Here is a 13,308-nt window from a genome sequence, read left to right as displayed (position 1 = left end):
ATTTTGTCATTTCTCCATAAACCTGTTTCTACTCCAGCGTTCTTAGTTAACAGTGTCACCTTTCACCAGTTAAAAGGTTACCTTGGAGCCATCTTTGAATTCACTCACTCTCTCACTGCTCATATCCTCCCATCCATCAGCAAATCCTTTCTGTTCTACCCCCAAAATCCCATCTACCATCCTGTTTCTCATTTCTCATCATCCCCATCACTATCACATAAAATAAGCCAACATCACTTTTAACCTGGACAATTATGACATTTTCTGACTGTTCTCCTCACTCATTCTTAATCTCTTACAAAATCCATTCTACAACCAGCAGCCAGAAACTACCCCCTAATTATGTCCTCTACTGCTTAAAACTCCCCAATGGTTTTCATGACACTTGAAATAAAATCTTAACTTCCCATGGCTGCAAAGGACCCCTATCCATCATTCTCAGCCTTTGCTGCTTAGTAGAATCATCTCAGGAGTTTTGAAAAATACTTAAGTGCCACCCAGATTAATGAAATCTGAGTCTCTCTCTTGGGGTGGGCTCCAGTATGGTTGGAGGTTTTTGTTAAGTGTGCACTCAGAGCAGAGGATAATCACTCTGCATGGCAGATCTTCAGACTATCTTCCTCTCTGCTTTTATCTGCTGCCACTGTCTCCATTCATTACATTGCAGCCTCAGAGCCTTTTTGCTTTCTTCAAACCACAAACAGCTTCTCTACTTTGCACATTCCCAGCCTACATTCCCCACCACTGCTCATCTTCACATGAATGGTTGCTTCTCGTCATTAAGGTCTCTAACCAAATATCACCTCTTTGCAGAGGCTTTCCAGGATCACCCTCTGCCCAGCTCCAGTGGTTCTCAAAGTGTCTCCAGAGCAGCAGCAGCGGCACCTGAAAATTTGTTTCCCACGCCCCACACCAGGCCCCTACTGAATTAGAAACTCTGGGGACAGGGCCAAACAATCTGTGTTTTAATAAGTCCTGCTAGTAACTCTGATGTACACTAAAGTTTGAGAAGCACTATTTTGCTCATACATAATGTGTATATACATATATATATATATATATATATTTATCTAAGCACCTCTACCCTTTACTCTTTATTACCTGATTTCATCTTTTTCATAGCAGTCATCTGAAATTCTTAATTTTTTAAATTATCTGTCCTCACTCCCCTAAAAGATAAGCTCCATGAAAACGTATGTTCACCCCTATTTGCCCAATGATCAGAATACTATCTGATACACAGTAAGCACTCAATAAATATTTACTGGGTAAATGAACCCATAAGCAAACCCATCTAGTCCCTTCTCCTCCAGAAGCCCTAAGGATTTGCTTTATTTTGTTCTCCTCTAGAGTGGGGGCCCCTGAGGAAGATGTACACAGGGATCTGCAGTAGAAGGTCTCAGAAAGCAATCTCAAAACCCAACCAAACGGCCACACACCAGCCAATTCAGGCTCTTTCAGAAGAGAGGCTTTTTAAATGTTGAACATGCTTGGCTCATATGAATGTGAAGTAATTGCTAGCTGTGACTAATGCACAGCTGGAAGGCCTCATTAAATCACAGGTAATCTGCCAAGGCATTTTTCCAAGGAAAGGAGCCTGCAGGAGCGTTCTACTCAACAGAGTATCTTGAAAGTAGAGAGGAGGCCAGGTACTCAGGGCAAAGGTCAAGACAATCCTGCCCCCAGAGTATATTCTCCCTTGATTCCAGAACTCTGGAAATGTTAGTTATCTGTTCATATATCTTTCTAACTTCCACTAGCACCCTCATTTCCAATAAATAAAAAAAATTGTTTTTAATTTCTTTAAAATATAATGAGGACTTTTGCTTATCTTTGCTTGCCATTTTTCACTTCTTTTTCTGTAAACAGCCTGTTCTTGTAGTTTTCTTTTAGACTGTTTGCCATTTTCCAACTGATTGGTAATTAAACTTACTCTTGTCTATCGTATGTACTGTCATTATTTTTCCCAGTTTCTGTTCCCCTCTCGACTTTGTTTTGGAGACTCCCCTCAGGCAAAAGTTGAAATTTTATTTAGTCAAATATGTCAATCTTCTACTTTAGGGTTTCTGATTTTTCATATAAATAAATAGAAAAGCCTCTTCTACTCCAAATATATAAAACCATTCAATCGTATATCCCACCAATACTTCTATGGCTCTCCTTTTTTTGTTAAAGGTTTAAATCTTATCTATCTGGAGGTCTTTTTTAGTGTTAACGTTGAAGAAATGTTCTAGTTTCATTTTAAAACTCAGTAACCTCAGCATTTAGCATAGTCAAATTGTACATGGTTGACATTAAATTTATATTTGTTAAATTATCAGAGGAGTGACAAAGGTACAAAATAGTTATGAATCACACTCAACAACATATTCTAATAAAAATGTGTGTACATATACATATATTACTTTAATGTAATATTAAAGTGTATTAATATAAATTTTAATAACTGGACAGGTGTTAACCAATGCCAATTTGGTCATCACTTGTTCTATAACAACAGAAACAATAATAATAACTACTGTTTATCTAGCACTTATTATGCTTCACAAAGTATAAGAGCTTTAAACATATTAACTCATTTAATCCTCAAAACAAACTGATGAGGAATTTCTATTTCTATCTTAATTTTAAAGATGAGACTACTGAGGCACCACGAGTTGAAGAAACTTGCTCAAGTTCCCACAATCAGCAATTGACAGAGCAGCAATCTGGGACCACGGCACTCAAGAGCATCCCATGCCTTCACCACTATGTTATCCTGTCTTTAAGAACACTGTTGACCGTGAAATAGAAAAAGCAATTGGTTGTTTGTGCTATTAACATCTAAGGGGTGTATACATTTTACTGGGACATTCTGCATTTCTAATTCTGTGTTTCTAATCTGAAAACTGAATAAGCATGCCCTCATCCCCACCCTCACCTACCTCCCCTAAAAAGCATACGTATCTTAGAGCTCAATGCATTTGGCTAGAATATCTAATAAAGAACCTATGAGGGTCCAACACAGGTAACTCAAAAACTGATATCTCTCTAGACCAACCCACATTCTCCCCGCATCTTTTAAGTTCAAAATCCTGCCATGAACTGCTGTAATTCCCAAGCATCCTCTGATCTGAAATGTGTATATTACAAAGCTGCCGTGACTAATTTGGTCTATATAGCAAGGTCAAAAAGTACTTCCCAGGATCTTATGCTATAAATTAGATTTTAAACATTTAGATAAGATATTAAAACACTCTGAACAATAAGGAATGTCATTGTACAACTCTATAGTTTTTATTTAGAAAAATGAGTAAAACTTTCAGTTTCATGATGGCAAAAGAAAGATACTTTTGCTCTTGTTACTTCTTTCAAAATTCCATAACCACAAAGATGATAGGAAACAAAAACACAAACTCCAGTTTCAATGAAATAAAGAAGTGACTGCAGTCTAACATCTGAAGATGAAAGTAGTTGGAGGAAACAGCAGAGAGAAGAAAAGTCAAGCCAGTGACTACAAGAAGCAAGCTGATTTGTCCCTGGAAATGTTTAAGAAATTGAGATACTGGATACTTTAGAAGCTAAAGGTAAGGGAAGTTGCTAAAATGAATGGGTATTTAGACTTTCCATCATTGGTGAGCTGCAGCTGGCTTATACCGGCTTGCAAGAGTTATTGTTAACGTTTCTTTCCAACTTTGCAGTGACCTCACATTCTTAGCTTGAAATCAATGCTAGTGAAAGTATTTACACAACACAAACTGCACATGCTACAAATCAGAGTTTTGCTTTGTTTTGTTTCAGAGAGCTAGTTGTTAAACATTTACCAGCACACCACTGCTCCCAAGTTGTAACCTCTACCACCCACTAGAAATCTGGGGTTTATTCTCCAGAGAATGTGAGCCATAGGAGCTTGAGACTCAGGCACAGCAGTCAAAAAGGAGGGCAAGCAAAAGATCCACTGCTGAAAATAGAGACACTGTGTGAAAATCTGTATATTGATCACTAAGTTCCTTCAACCCCGGAATCAGCATTCAGGTTGCATTCCCCTGACAGGAAACTGAGAATTCTTCTCTGAAGAGACAAAATTGTCTCTTCAGAAAAAAGAAAAAAGACTTATGCAGAATGATATGTTGAGAGGGCCTCAGTGAAAAATCCGGCTAACTTGTTTGATCCTCCTGCACTGAACTAGTCTATGCAAGCTATCTACCCAGATACGCAAACTCTAAAGAATTCATTTTACAAGTAACCTTTCTCAAGAAGTCACTAAAGGATATACTCCTCCAAAACAAAGGAATAAACCAAGAAGAGAAAATGGATTTAGGAAACAGAGAAGAGAGGCAATGGACATTCCCAGAGTGACAGCTGTGCCTTATGCCCAGAGAGCACAGTGCATGCTGGGGCAGGAAGCAAAGGGCTCCAAGGAGGAGGAATGAAAAAGGAGCTGGTAAATTATCTGACTGTTTGACCACACAGAACACTGTAATGAGAGATATTTTACAGAACTGTTTGGGGATATTAGAAGACTTAGACATTCAAAGAAAATTAAACAAAGGAAAAAATGAGGCAATTACTAACTCTAGGTAAAACTGACAACAAAAGTAAATACAAAAGGCAGCCACACATTCCAGTGCAGATCACTCAACACTGGAAAGCACTTATGTAGTCACAACAAAGTAACAAAAAAAAAAAAAAAAAAAGATGTAACCAAAAATTTAGACATAATCAATTATATATGGAAGAAGTGAGGAAAGGTATAGGAAGTATAAGGTTTAAATGAGTAAAAATCCTAACATATCCTATAGAAAGTAAATTGATTTAACAAGAGGAATATTATTTTCACATGAGGAGGTAAATACCAGAACAAACAGTTAAAAACGAAGTGATTCTTCTAGCAAATGGCACAAATCAATGAAATGGGACAAATCAATGGGAGAAGAGAGTGAAGAAATATGTATGTGTGTGTGTGTGTGTCTTATAGAAGTATTTAATAATTATTTTCATGTAATACTTTCACCATAATTTTTAAAATTTAAATAATCAAGAAATAATGAAAAATAAAAATAGTTTATAAATTACAGACAACTGCAGAGAATGTGGGAATTCTGATTTTTTTTTTTTTTTTTTTTTTGAGAGAGGGTCTCACTCTGTCACTCAGACTAGAGCGCAGTGGCACAATCTGGCTCACTGCAACCTCCACCTCCTGGGCGCAAGTGATTCCAGGCTCCCCCACCCCCGACAATCCCACGCATGCCACTGCACTTGGCTAATTTTTTGTTTTTTTGTACAGACAAGGTCTCACTATACTGCCCAGGCTGTTCTCAAACTCCCAGGCTCAAGCAATCCTCCCAGCTGGGCCTCCCAAAGTAATGGGATTGCAGGTGTTAGCCACTACACCTGGCTTGATATTCTATTATAAGGGGATTACTGCATTGTAATAACAGGAAAAAATTTCCAAATCAGGAGAAGTCTGGTTAAAACATCTTGCAATAAACTTTGATTATTCATCATTAGATACCATAATCAAAGCCTCACTTAGTTATGGGCCATTAGACAAGAGAACCTGTGATGAACACATCAAGGATAAATCAGGACAGTACTTCTGACCTTATCCTTTGCAGGAAGCCAGAATCTTTACTGGGGCACCCACACTTACTCATCAAATGTTCATGAAAGATAAAATTCATGCGTCCCTTGTGTATTTCAAATTTCATTTCTAAAAAAGATCAATAAAAACCTTTTCCTTTCATAGTTCTCGTCATACTTTTTATTTCCTGCTTTGAAATGCCAATATAACTGCTATAGGGAGAAATTGATTTCATAATTACAGGGGGAAATTAGCAATGGGAGCAGGCTTAGAGTGGTAAGAACAAGAACCATAAATTTTAGTGGAATGGAAGAAATAAATCATTCTTTCTGGAAGTTTGGTGGGGAAAGAATGAGAAATTCAGTGGTAGTGGCAATACGGAGGAATGAATTTTCTAGATGGGGAGATCTACGTTTGTTAAAAGGCAAAGGGGCAAGATGCAATTTTTTAAAAAAGTTAAATGGTGGTGAAAAGGAAAACTAAAGATGGAAATGGACTGATTGAAAAGCAAAAGTGGAGGGGTTTGCTTTGTGACCAGGGAGCCCTTTCCTGTGAAATTCAAAGAAAGACAATGACTATCTAGAGAATGTTTCTAATGTAACAAAAGGAAATATTCTTCACATGAGGAGGTAAATACCAGAACAAACAGTTAAAAACAAAGTGATTCTTCTAGCAAATGGCACAAATCAATGAAATGGGACAAATCAATGAGAGAAAAGAGTGAAGGAAGGCTGACTGCACCAAGAATCACCAACTGAAACAGAGAGACTCCCCAGTTCCATCCCCAGAAACTCTGATTCAGTAGGTCGAGGATGAACCTGGGAGGTCATGACTAACAGGTTCCCCAGGGGATCTCTGTGGGTAGCTAAGCTTAGATGCCACTGTATAGGGATCCCCAAGATATGAATAAAATAATTCCAAACAGTATTAAAGGCACCAGTGGGGCTAAGATGTTAATGCTCCAACAATGGGAGAGAGAGAGAGAGAAAGCAGAATGGTGAGGGCTAACCCACATAATTAGTGGGAATTACAGCAGCTTTGAGTTGCTGGCCAAATCGCACCTTCTTGTTCCAAGGTGAAAATGATTAAAACTAAAACACAAAACCTCATTTCTCATTCTTTTTTATTTAATCAATTTTCAACCAAAAGTAGCTCCCAGCCAGGTGCAGTGGCCCACGCCAGTAATCTAACACTTTGGAAGATAGGAGGATTGCTTGAGCCCAGAGTTCGAGACCAGCCTGGGAAACATAGTAAGACCCTATCTCTATAAAAAAATGAAAAATTATCTGGGCATGATATCACACATCTGCAGCCCCAGCTACTTGGGAGGCTAAGGTGGGAAAATTGCTCAAGCCTGGGAGGTCAAAGCTGCAGAGAGCTGTGATTGCACTACTGCACTCCAGGCTGGGCAACACAGCGAGACCCTGTCTCAAAAAAAAAAAAAATAGTATTCCCCTTCATTGATAAAATCATTACCTCAGTGCATGGGGGCACTTGCTTCCCAGGTCACTACTTAGTTCAATAAAAGGAAAACCCATAATTTGGTTCCTCTCTTTGGGTACTTTGCTAGTGTACTTCTAGGGCAACATTTGTTTTTAAACAAGGTATCTAAACTTATTGGTATAGATGTCTAGTTTAATCTCAGTGCTTGGAATTCTTGTAGAACTTTCAGCAAGATATGGGCTCCCTGCAACTTTAGATAATGATTACTTATTAGTTTTTTTTTAACTTAAAAAGCATATCAGCAAGTATCTGTATCAGATATTAACATACAGAAAGGACAAATAAAAATCAACTACTTTCCTAAGACTGTATACTTTCATCATTTAAATAATGCTTTTCTGATCTTAAATATTGCTTCTTTAATTATTTGATTAAAGCTACAAAATTCAGCCGAAATAGAAATCATAGTATTTAAAATAACTTTCCAAAAAGATTGAAACTAAAAATACTATTAGAGCACAATGGAAAAGGCAGTGTGTCTATGTGTAATATGGCGTAATAGACATGGTCTTTTGTCATTGAAATAATAATACTGTTTCCTCACCCAAATGCAGGCTTCTTTTAAGTCCAGAGAGTGAAGAAATGTACACATAATCAATTTAAGCAAATTACAAAGGCAGCTGATCCATGGCTTTATAACATAATCTCTGTCACAGCACTGCATTCTGGGAAGCAGCCAGCTGTTGTCAAGCCTTAATGAAAAATGCCAGATAAGTGGCTTTACTTCAAAACACAGAAATTGGCCTGAATAAATCAAGGAATTGTTATCAGATTTTGATATCATCTGGAAAGGAAAGTCTAGCCTCCTTCTGAAAGCTGAAAAACATCATTTCTTTAATCAAGAAATTACCTCACTAAAAGCTGTGACACTTTAGTCAACTTAATCATTAAAGTGTCAGTTTCTTCACTTCATTTGCTTTCTGAGTGATAGGCCCAAGTTCTTTTGATTTATTTTCATTAAGCAAAAAAGGACTATAAGTCACAAAGAAAATTATATCACAAAACCCACATTTGATTTGAAACATAACACCTTAAAAGTATTTTGTTCATTTTTTAGACCTGAATACTACATCATTAAATATATATCTTTCATTAAAATAACTTGCATTTATTAAAAATTTTCAAAAAAAACAATTTGGAGAAAGGTAAGAAATATGCTTCCATTTATACAGTTAAGAAACACATATTAGTGCAGTGATACTCAAACCTGGTTACACATTAAAATCACCTGGGAGACTCTGTAAACTAACAACATCCCACCCCACACGGATCAAATCACATCTCTGAGGCTGATGCCTAAGTATTGGTATGTGCTGTTTTTGGGGGTTGTTTAAGTTACCCAGGTGATTCTAACGCAGCCAGGTTTGAGAATCCCACCTAGGGCATTGACTCTCAAATTTGGCTGCATATTAGAATCACTTGGGGGAAGACAGTGGCCGATTAAAAACACTGATGCTTTAATCCTGTTATAAGTTGAATTGTGTGTCCCCTCCTCTGCCAAAAAAAAAAAAAAAAAAAAAGTCTGTTGAAGTCCCAATCCCCAGTACCTCAACATGTGACTGTATTTGGAGATGGGTTATGTAAAAAGGTAAAAAGAGGTCATTAGGGTGGCCCTACTCTAATAAGACTGTTGTTCTTATAAAGGAAGGAGAACAGGATACGGATGGGTACAGAGGGAAGACCACATGAAGAAACCAGGAGGAGAAGATGGCAGAGAAGAGAAGCCTCAGAAGAAACCAAACCTGCCAACACCTAAATCCTGGACTTCTACCCTCCAAAACTATGAAAAAAATCAACTTCTGTCGTTTAAGTCACCCAGACTGTGGTACTTTGTTATGGCAGCCATGGAAAACAAATACAGGTCCCATTCCCAGAATTCTGATTTTGTAATTGCGGAGGCAACCCTGGATCTGGGCTTTTTAAATGCTCCCAGGTCATTCTAATGTGCATTCAGGGTTAAGAGACACTGCTGTAGGTATCCTAAAATCTGATTTCACCTGTCCTCTACTTGATGTTAGGAAAGCAGCAGTTGCTTATACTTACCGACATCTCTCTACTAAAACTATTAAATGGATGTAATCAAGAAAATAAATAGAAAATTAAGTATTTTATTGAGAACATTGCTTCATCCCAGTTAAGAACTCCCACTGGAGATAGTGCCATTGATCCTCCTTCTCACCACCACCCCCATTAATGGAAGGTATGTTATTTTCTTATGAAATATTTAATATCTGTTCCCTATAATTCACAACTTACAAACAGGATCATTCCAACCATTTGTGTTCACAAACTCAAATGTTCTTATTTCTATTTATCTTTCCACTCTTAATATTGCCATTTTCTTGTCTCCACTTGAGATTAATGAAACTTTGCACAATTATTTCAAAATATGGGTTTTAATAGCTTCAGTGTCAACTTGGAATGCAACAGCTATGCATTATCTTTCTTTCCCCATAAAAGAGATCTAGTGGCTTCTGAATCACACAAACCTCAGATCCAATCAGCCCTGCCACTAAACAGCTGTGTGACCTTCAGGAAGTTATATAAACTCTCCAAGCTTCCAGGTATTCCCCTTGAAAGGACTAGGTATGTGTTCCCCTGGCCCTTTCCCCACCAACTGCTGGTAGGAGATGGCAACAAGTGGAGATTTGGGCCCAAGATAAAAACCGTGTTTTGAGGATGGTAGGACAACCCAAAAAAGCTAAAGACCCCTTGCCTAGCTTGGATATTATTTGAGGGATAATTAAATGTCTATCTTGTCTGAAACACTCTATTTAGAGAATACTACATCACAGCAGCAAAGCTTGTACCATATTCTACATATTCGCTTCTGTGGAGACAAGTTTGAGGAAACTATTCTGGAATTTTGGAAGAAACTCTTATGGAAGATACAAGAGCAATGAGGAGGTTACTATAGAAGTTCAAATGCAAGAGTCAGTGGCTTGGAATACTACAGTATGACAATGGAGGTGGATGTGGAAGTTGGTAAACATACACTTTGGAAGTACAATGAACATAAACTGATGATGCACTGAATGTAAAAGAACATGTCAAAGATGGCTCCCAAGGTCCTAAGAAGATAGAAGAATTATTGACTCATGAAGACTGGAAAAGAACTATAATTCTAGGGGAAGATTAAGAAATTTAAACTTGTAAAATGTAAGATATCTGTGAGACATAGATGTGATCATGTCAGAGTTGAAGGTCTGTGCCAGTGACGTGGGAGTAACTTCTCTATTCATCTCCAGACTTGGGTTGTTGCCCAACAGGTCCCAAGTACAATGCACAAAGTGAGCACAGCCACACTAATACCACCTTAAATATTTAGGAAACATTATGGGACCCCAAGTCCTTCATTCATTCCTGTACATGGAAAAAAAATCCTTGATCCTTCTCTTGGTTTTATTTTATAGCCTTCTCTTTGGCACTAATGGACCGTAAGTTCTTTTAATCCTTTTGTAAAGCACCTGACTGATTTATATTTAATCTTTCATTGTAGCTGTGTATAGTTTATGTTTGTTTTCAAAATTCTATGTCTAAGGTTTATTTTTAAAATGTCTTTGTCCAAACAATCTCTGCAACATTTCAAGGATGATATGGCAGAAAACATTATAGTGTGCTTGGTGACCCAAATCAACAGAAGTAGCTGGTGAGGGAGATGAGACAAAGAGGCTTAACAAAATTTATCCAGCCCATTTACAATAGCTTCAAAGAAACAAAATACTTAGGAATAATTTTACCCAAGGAGGTGAAAGATCTGTACAATGAAAACTACAAAAGATTAATGAGAGAAATTGAAGAAGACATAAATAAATGGAAAGATTATCCATGCGCATAGATTGGAAAAAATAACATTGTTAAAATGTCCATCCTATGCAAATGGTGTACAGATTCAATGCAATCCCCACCAAAATTTCAATGACATTTCTCACAGACACAGAAAAAGCAGTTCTAAAATTCATAAAGGATATTACAGGACCCCAAATAGCAAAAACAATCTTGAAAAAGAACAAAGCTGGAAGCCCACTTCTTGATTTCAAAACATCCTAAAAGCAACAGTAGTTGAGACAGTGTGCTACTGGCATAAAGTAGCATACATAAATCAACAGAACAGAATAGACATCCCAGAAATAAATTTATGCATTTATGGTCAATTGATCTTTGGCAAGTGTGCTAAGAACACACAATGAAGAAAGGACAGTCTCTTCAATAAATAGTTCTGGGAAAACTGGGTATCCATATGCAGAAGAAAGAAAATGGACCTTTATCTCACACCAAATTCAAAAAGCAACTCAAAGCAGATTGAAGACTTAAATATAGGACCTGAAACTATAAAACTACTAGCAGAAAACACAGGGGGAAAGCTACGTGACATTGGTCTAGGCAATGATTTTTTTGTATATGACTTTAAAAGCACAAGCAAAAAACCTTAAGCACCTTAAAAGCACAAGCAACAAAAGCAAAAATAGACAAACGGAATTACATAAAACTAAAAAGTTCTGGCACAGCAAAGGAAACAATCAACAGAGTGAAGAGACAACTCACAGAATGGTAGAAAATATCTGCAGACTGTACATCTGATAAGAAGTTAATATTCAAAATATATAAGAAACTTAGGCAACTCAATAGCAAGAAAACAAATAACTCAATTTTAAAACAGGGAAAAGACTTGAACAGACATTTCTCAAAAGACATACAAATGGCCAACGGGTATATGAAAACATGTTCAACATCACTAATCATCAAGAAAATGCAAATTAAACCAAAATAAGATATTACCTCATGCCCATTAGAATAGTTATTGTCAACAGATAAGTGCTGGAAAGATATGCGGAAAAAAGGAAAGGCTTGTACATTGTTGGTGGAAATATAAATTAATATAGCCACTATGGAAAACAATGGAGGTTTATCAAAAAATTAAAAATAGAATTATCATATAATCCAGCAATACCACTTGTTGGTGTACATCTAAAGGAAATGAAATCAATATGCTGAAGAGATATCTGCACTCCATGCACTGCAGCACTATTCATGATAGCTAAGATGCGGTATCAACCTAAGTGTCCATCAATGCATGAATGGATAAAGAAAATGTGAGGGGGGGGGTGTTTAATATATGTATACATACACACAATAGAATACTACTCAGCTGGAAAAAAGGGATCCTGTCATTTGTGACAACATGAATGAACCTGGAGGAATTATGCTAAGTGAAATAAGCTAGGAACAGAAGAACAAATACTGCATGATCTCACTTATATGTGGAATCTAAAAAAGCTGAACTTTAGAAGTAGATAGTAGAATGACAGCTGCCAGACACTGGGAACTGGCATAGGTGGGAGATGTTGGTCAAGGGGTGCAAAGTGTCAGATAGAATAAATAAGTTTGGGAGATCTATTGTATAGCATGGTGACTATGGTCTGTAATAACATATGGTATAGCTGAAATTCACTAAGAGAGATTCTCTTTTAACTTTTACGTTCAAGGGGTACACATGCAGGTTTGTTGTATAGGTAAATTGTGTGTCACAGGGGTTGGGTGTACAGATTATTTTGTCACCCCGGTAATAAGCATGGTACCCGATAGGTAGTTTTTCGATCCTCTCCCTTCTCCCACCCTCTACCCTCAAATAGGTTCCCGTGTCTGTTGTTCCCCTTTGTGTCCATGTGTTCTCAATGTTCAGTTCCCACTTATAAGTGAGAATATGCAGTATTTGGTTTTATGTTCCTGCATTAGTTCACTTAGGATTATGGCCTCTGGCTCCATCTATGTTGCTGCAAAGAACAAGATCTTGTTCTTTTTATGGTTACATATTAATAGCATCCTATGGTGTCTATGCACCACATTTTCTTTATCCAGTCTACCACTGATGGGCATTTAGGTTGATTCCATGTCTTTGCTATTGTGAATATTGTTGTCATAAGCATACATGAGTCTTTAGGGCAGAATTAATTATATTCCTTTGGGTGTATACAGAATGGTAATTCTGTTTTAAATTCTTTGAGAAATTGCCACACTGCTTTTCACAGTGGCTGAACTAATTTACATTCCCACCCCAGCAGTGTATAAGTGTTCTCTTTTCTCTGCAAACTCACCAGGACCTGTTATTTCTTTACTTTTTCATAACAGCCATTCTGTCTGGTGTAAGATGGTATCTCGTTGTGGTTTTGATTTGCATTTCTCAAATGACGAGTGATGTTGAGCATTTTTTCATATGCTAGTTGGCCGAGTGTATGTCGTCT

At 37.3% G+C, this 13,308-nt stretch overlaps 1 protein-coding gene across 2 annotated transcripts in view, besides 1 other annotated feature; it reads right to left on the bottom strand.

Moving 5' to 3' along the window:
- The window catches only part of PLCL1 (phospholipase C like 1 (inactive)), a 345,271-nt gene that overhangs the window by 201,560 nt on the left and 130,403 nt on the right, over nucleotides 1–13,308 (bottom strand). The gene's annotated exons all lie outside the window — the stretch shown is intronic.
- Nucleotides 9,602–9,815: a silencer, noted in NCBI's record as "fragment chr2:198803213-198803426 (GRCh37/hg19 assembly coordinates)". NCBI's record gives its function as "represses an EF-1alpha promoter that drives an FKBP-Casp9 reporter gene in an ReSE screen in K562 erythroleukemia cells {active_cell/tissue: K562}" and the evidence as "EXISTENCE:reporter gene assay evidence [ECO:0000049][PMID:32094911]".

Source organism: Homo sapiens, chromosome 2 (assembly GCF_000001405.40).
Source record: "Homo sapiens chromosome 2, GRCh38.p14 Primary Assembly".
Lineage (NCBI taxonomy): Eukaryota > Metazoa > Chordata > Mammalia > Primates > Hominidae > Homo > Homo sapiens.
Note: the sequence above shows the minus strand (reverse complement) of the source record. Positions and strands in the feature narration are given on the sequence as shown.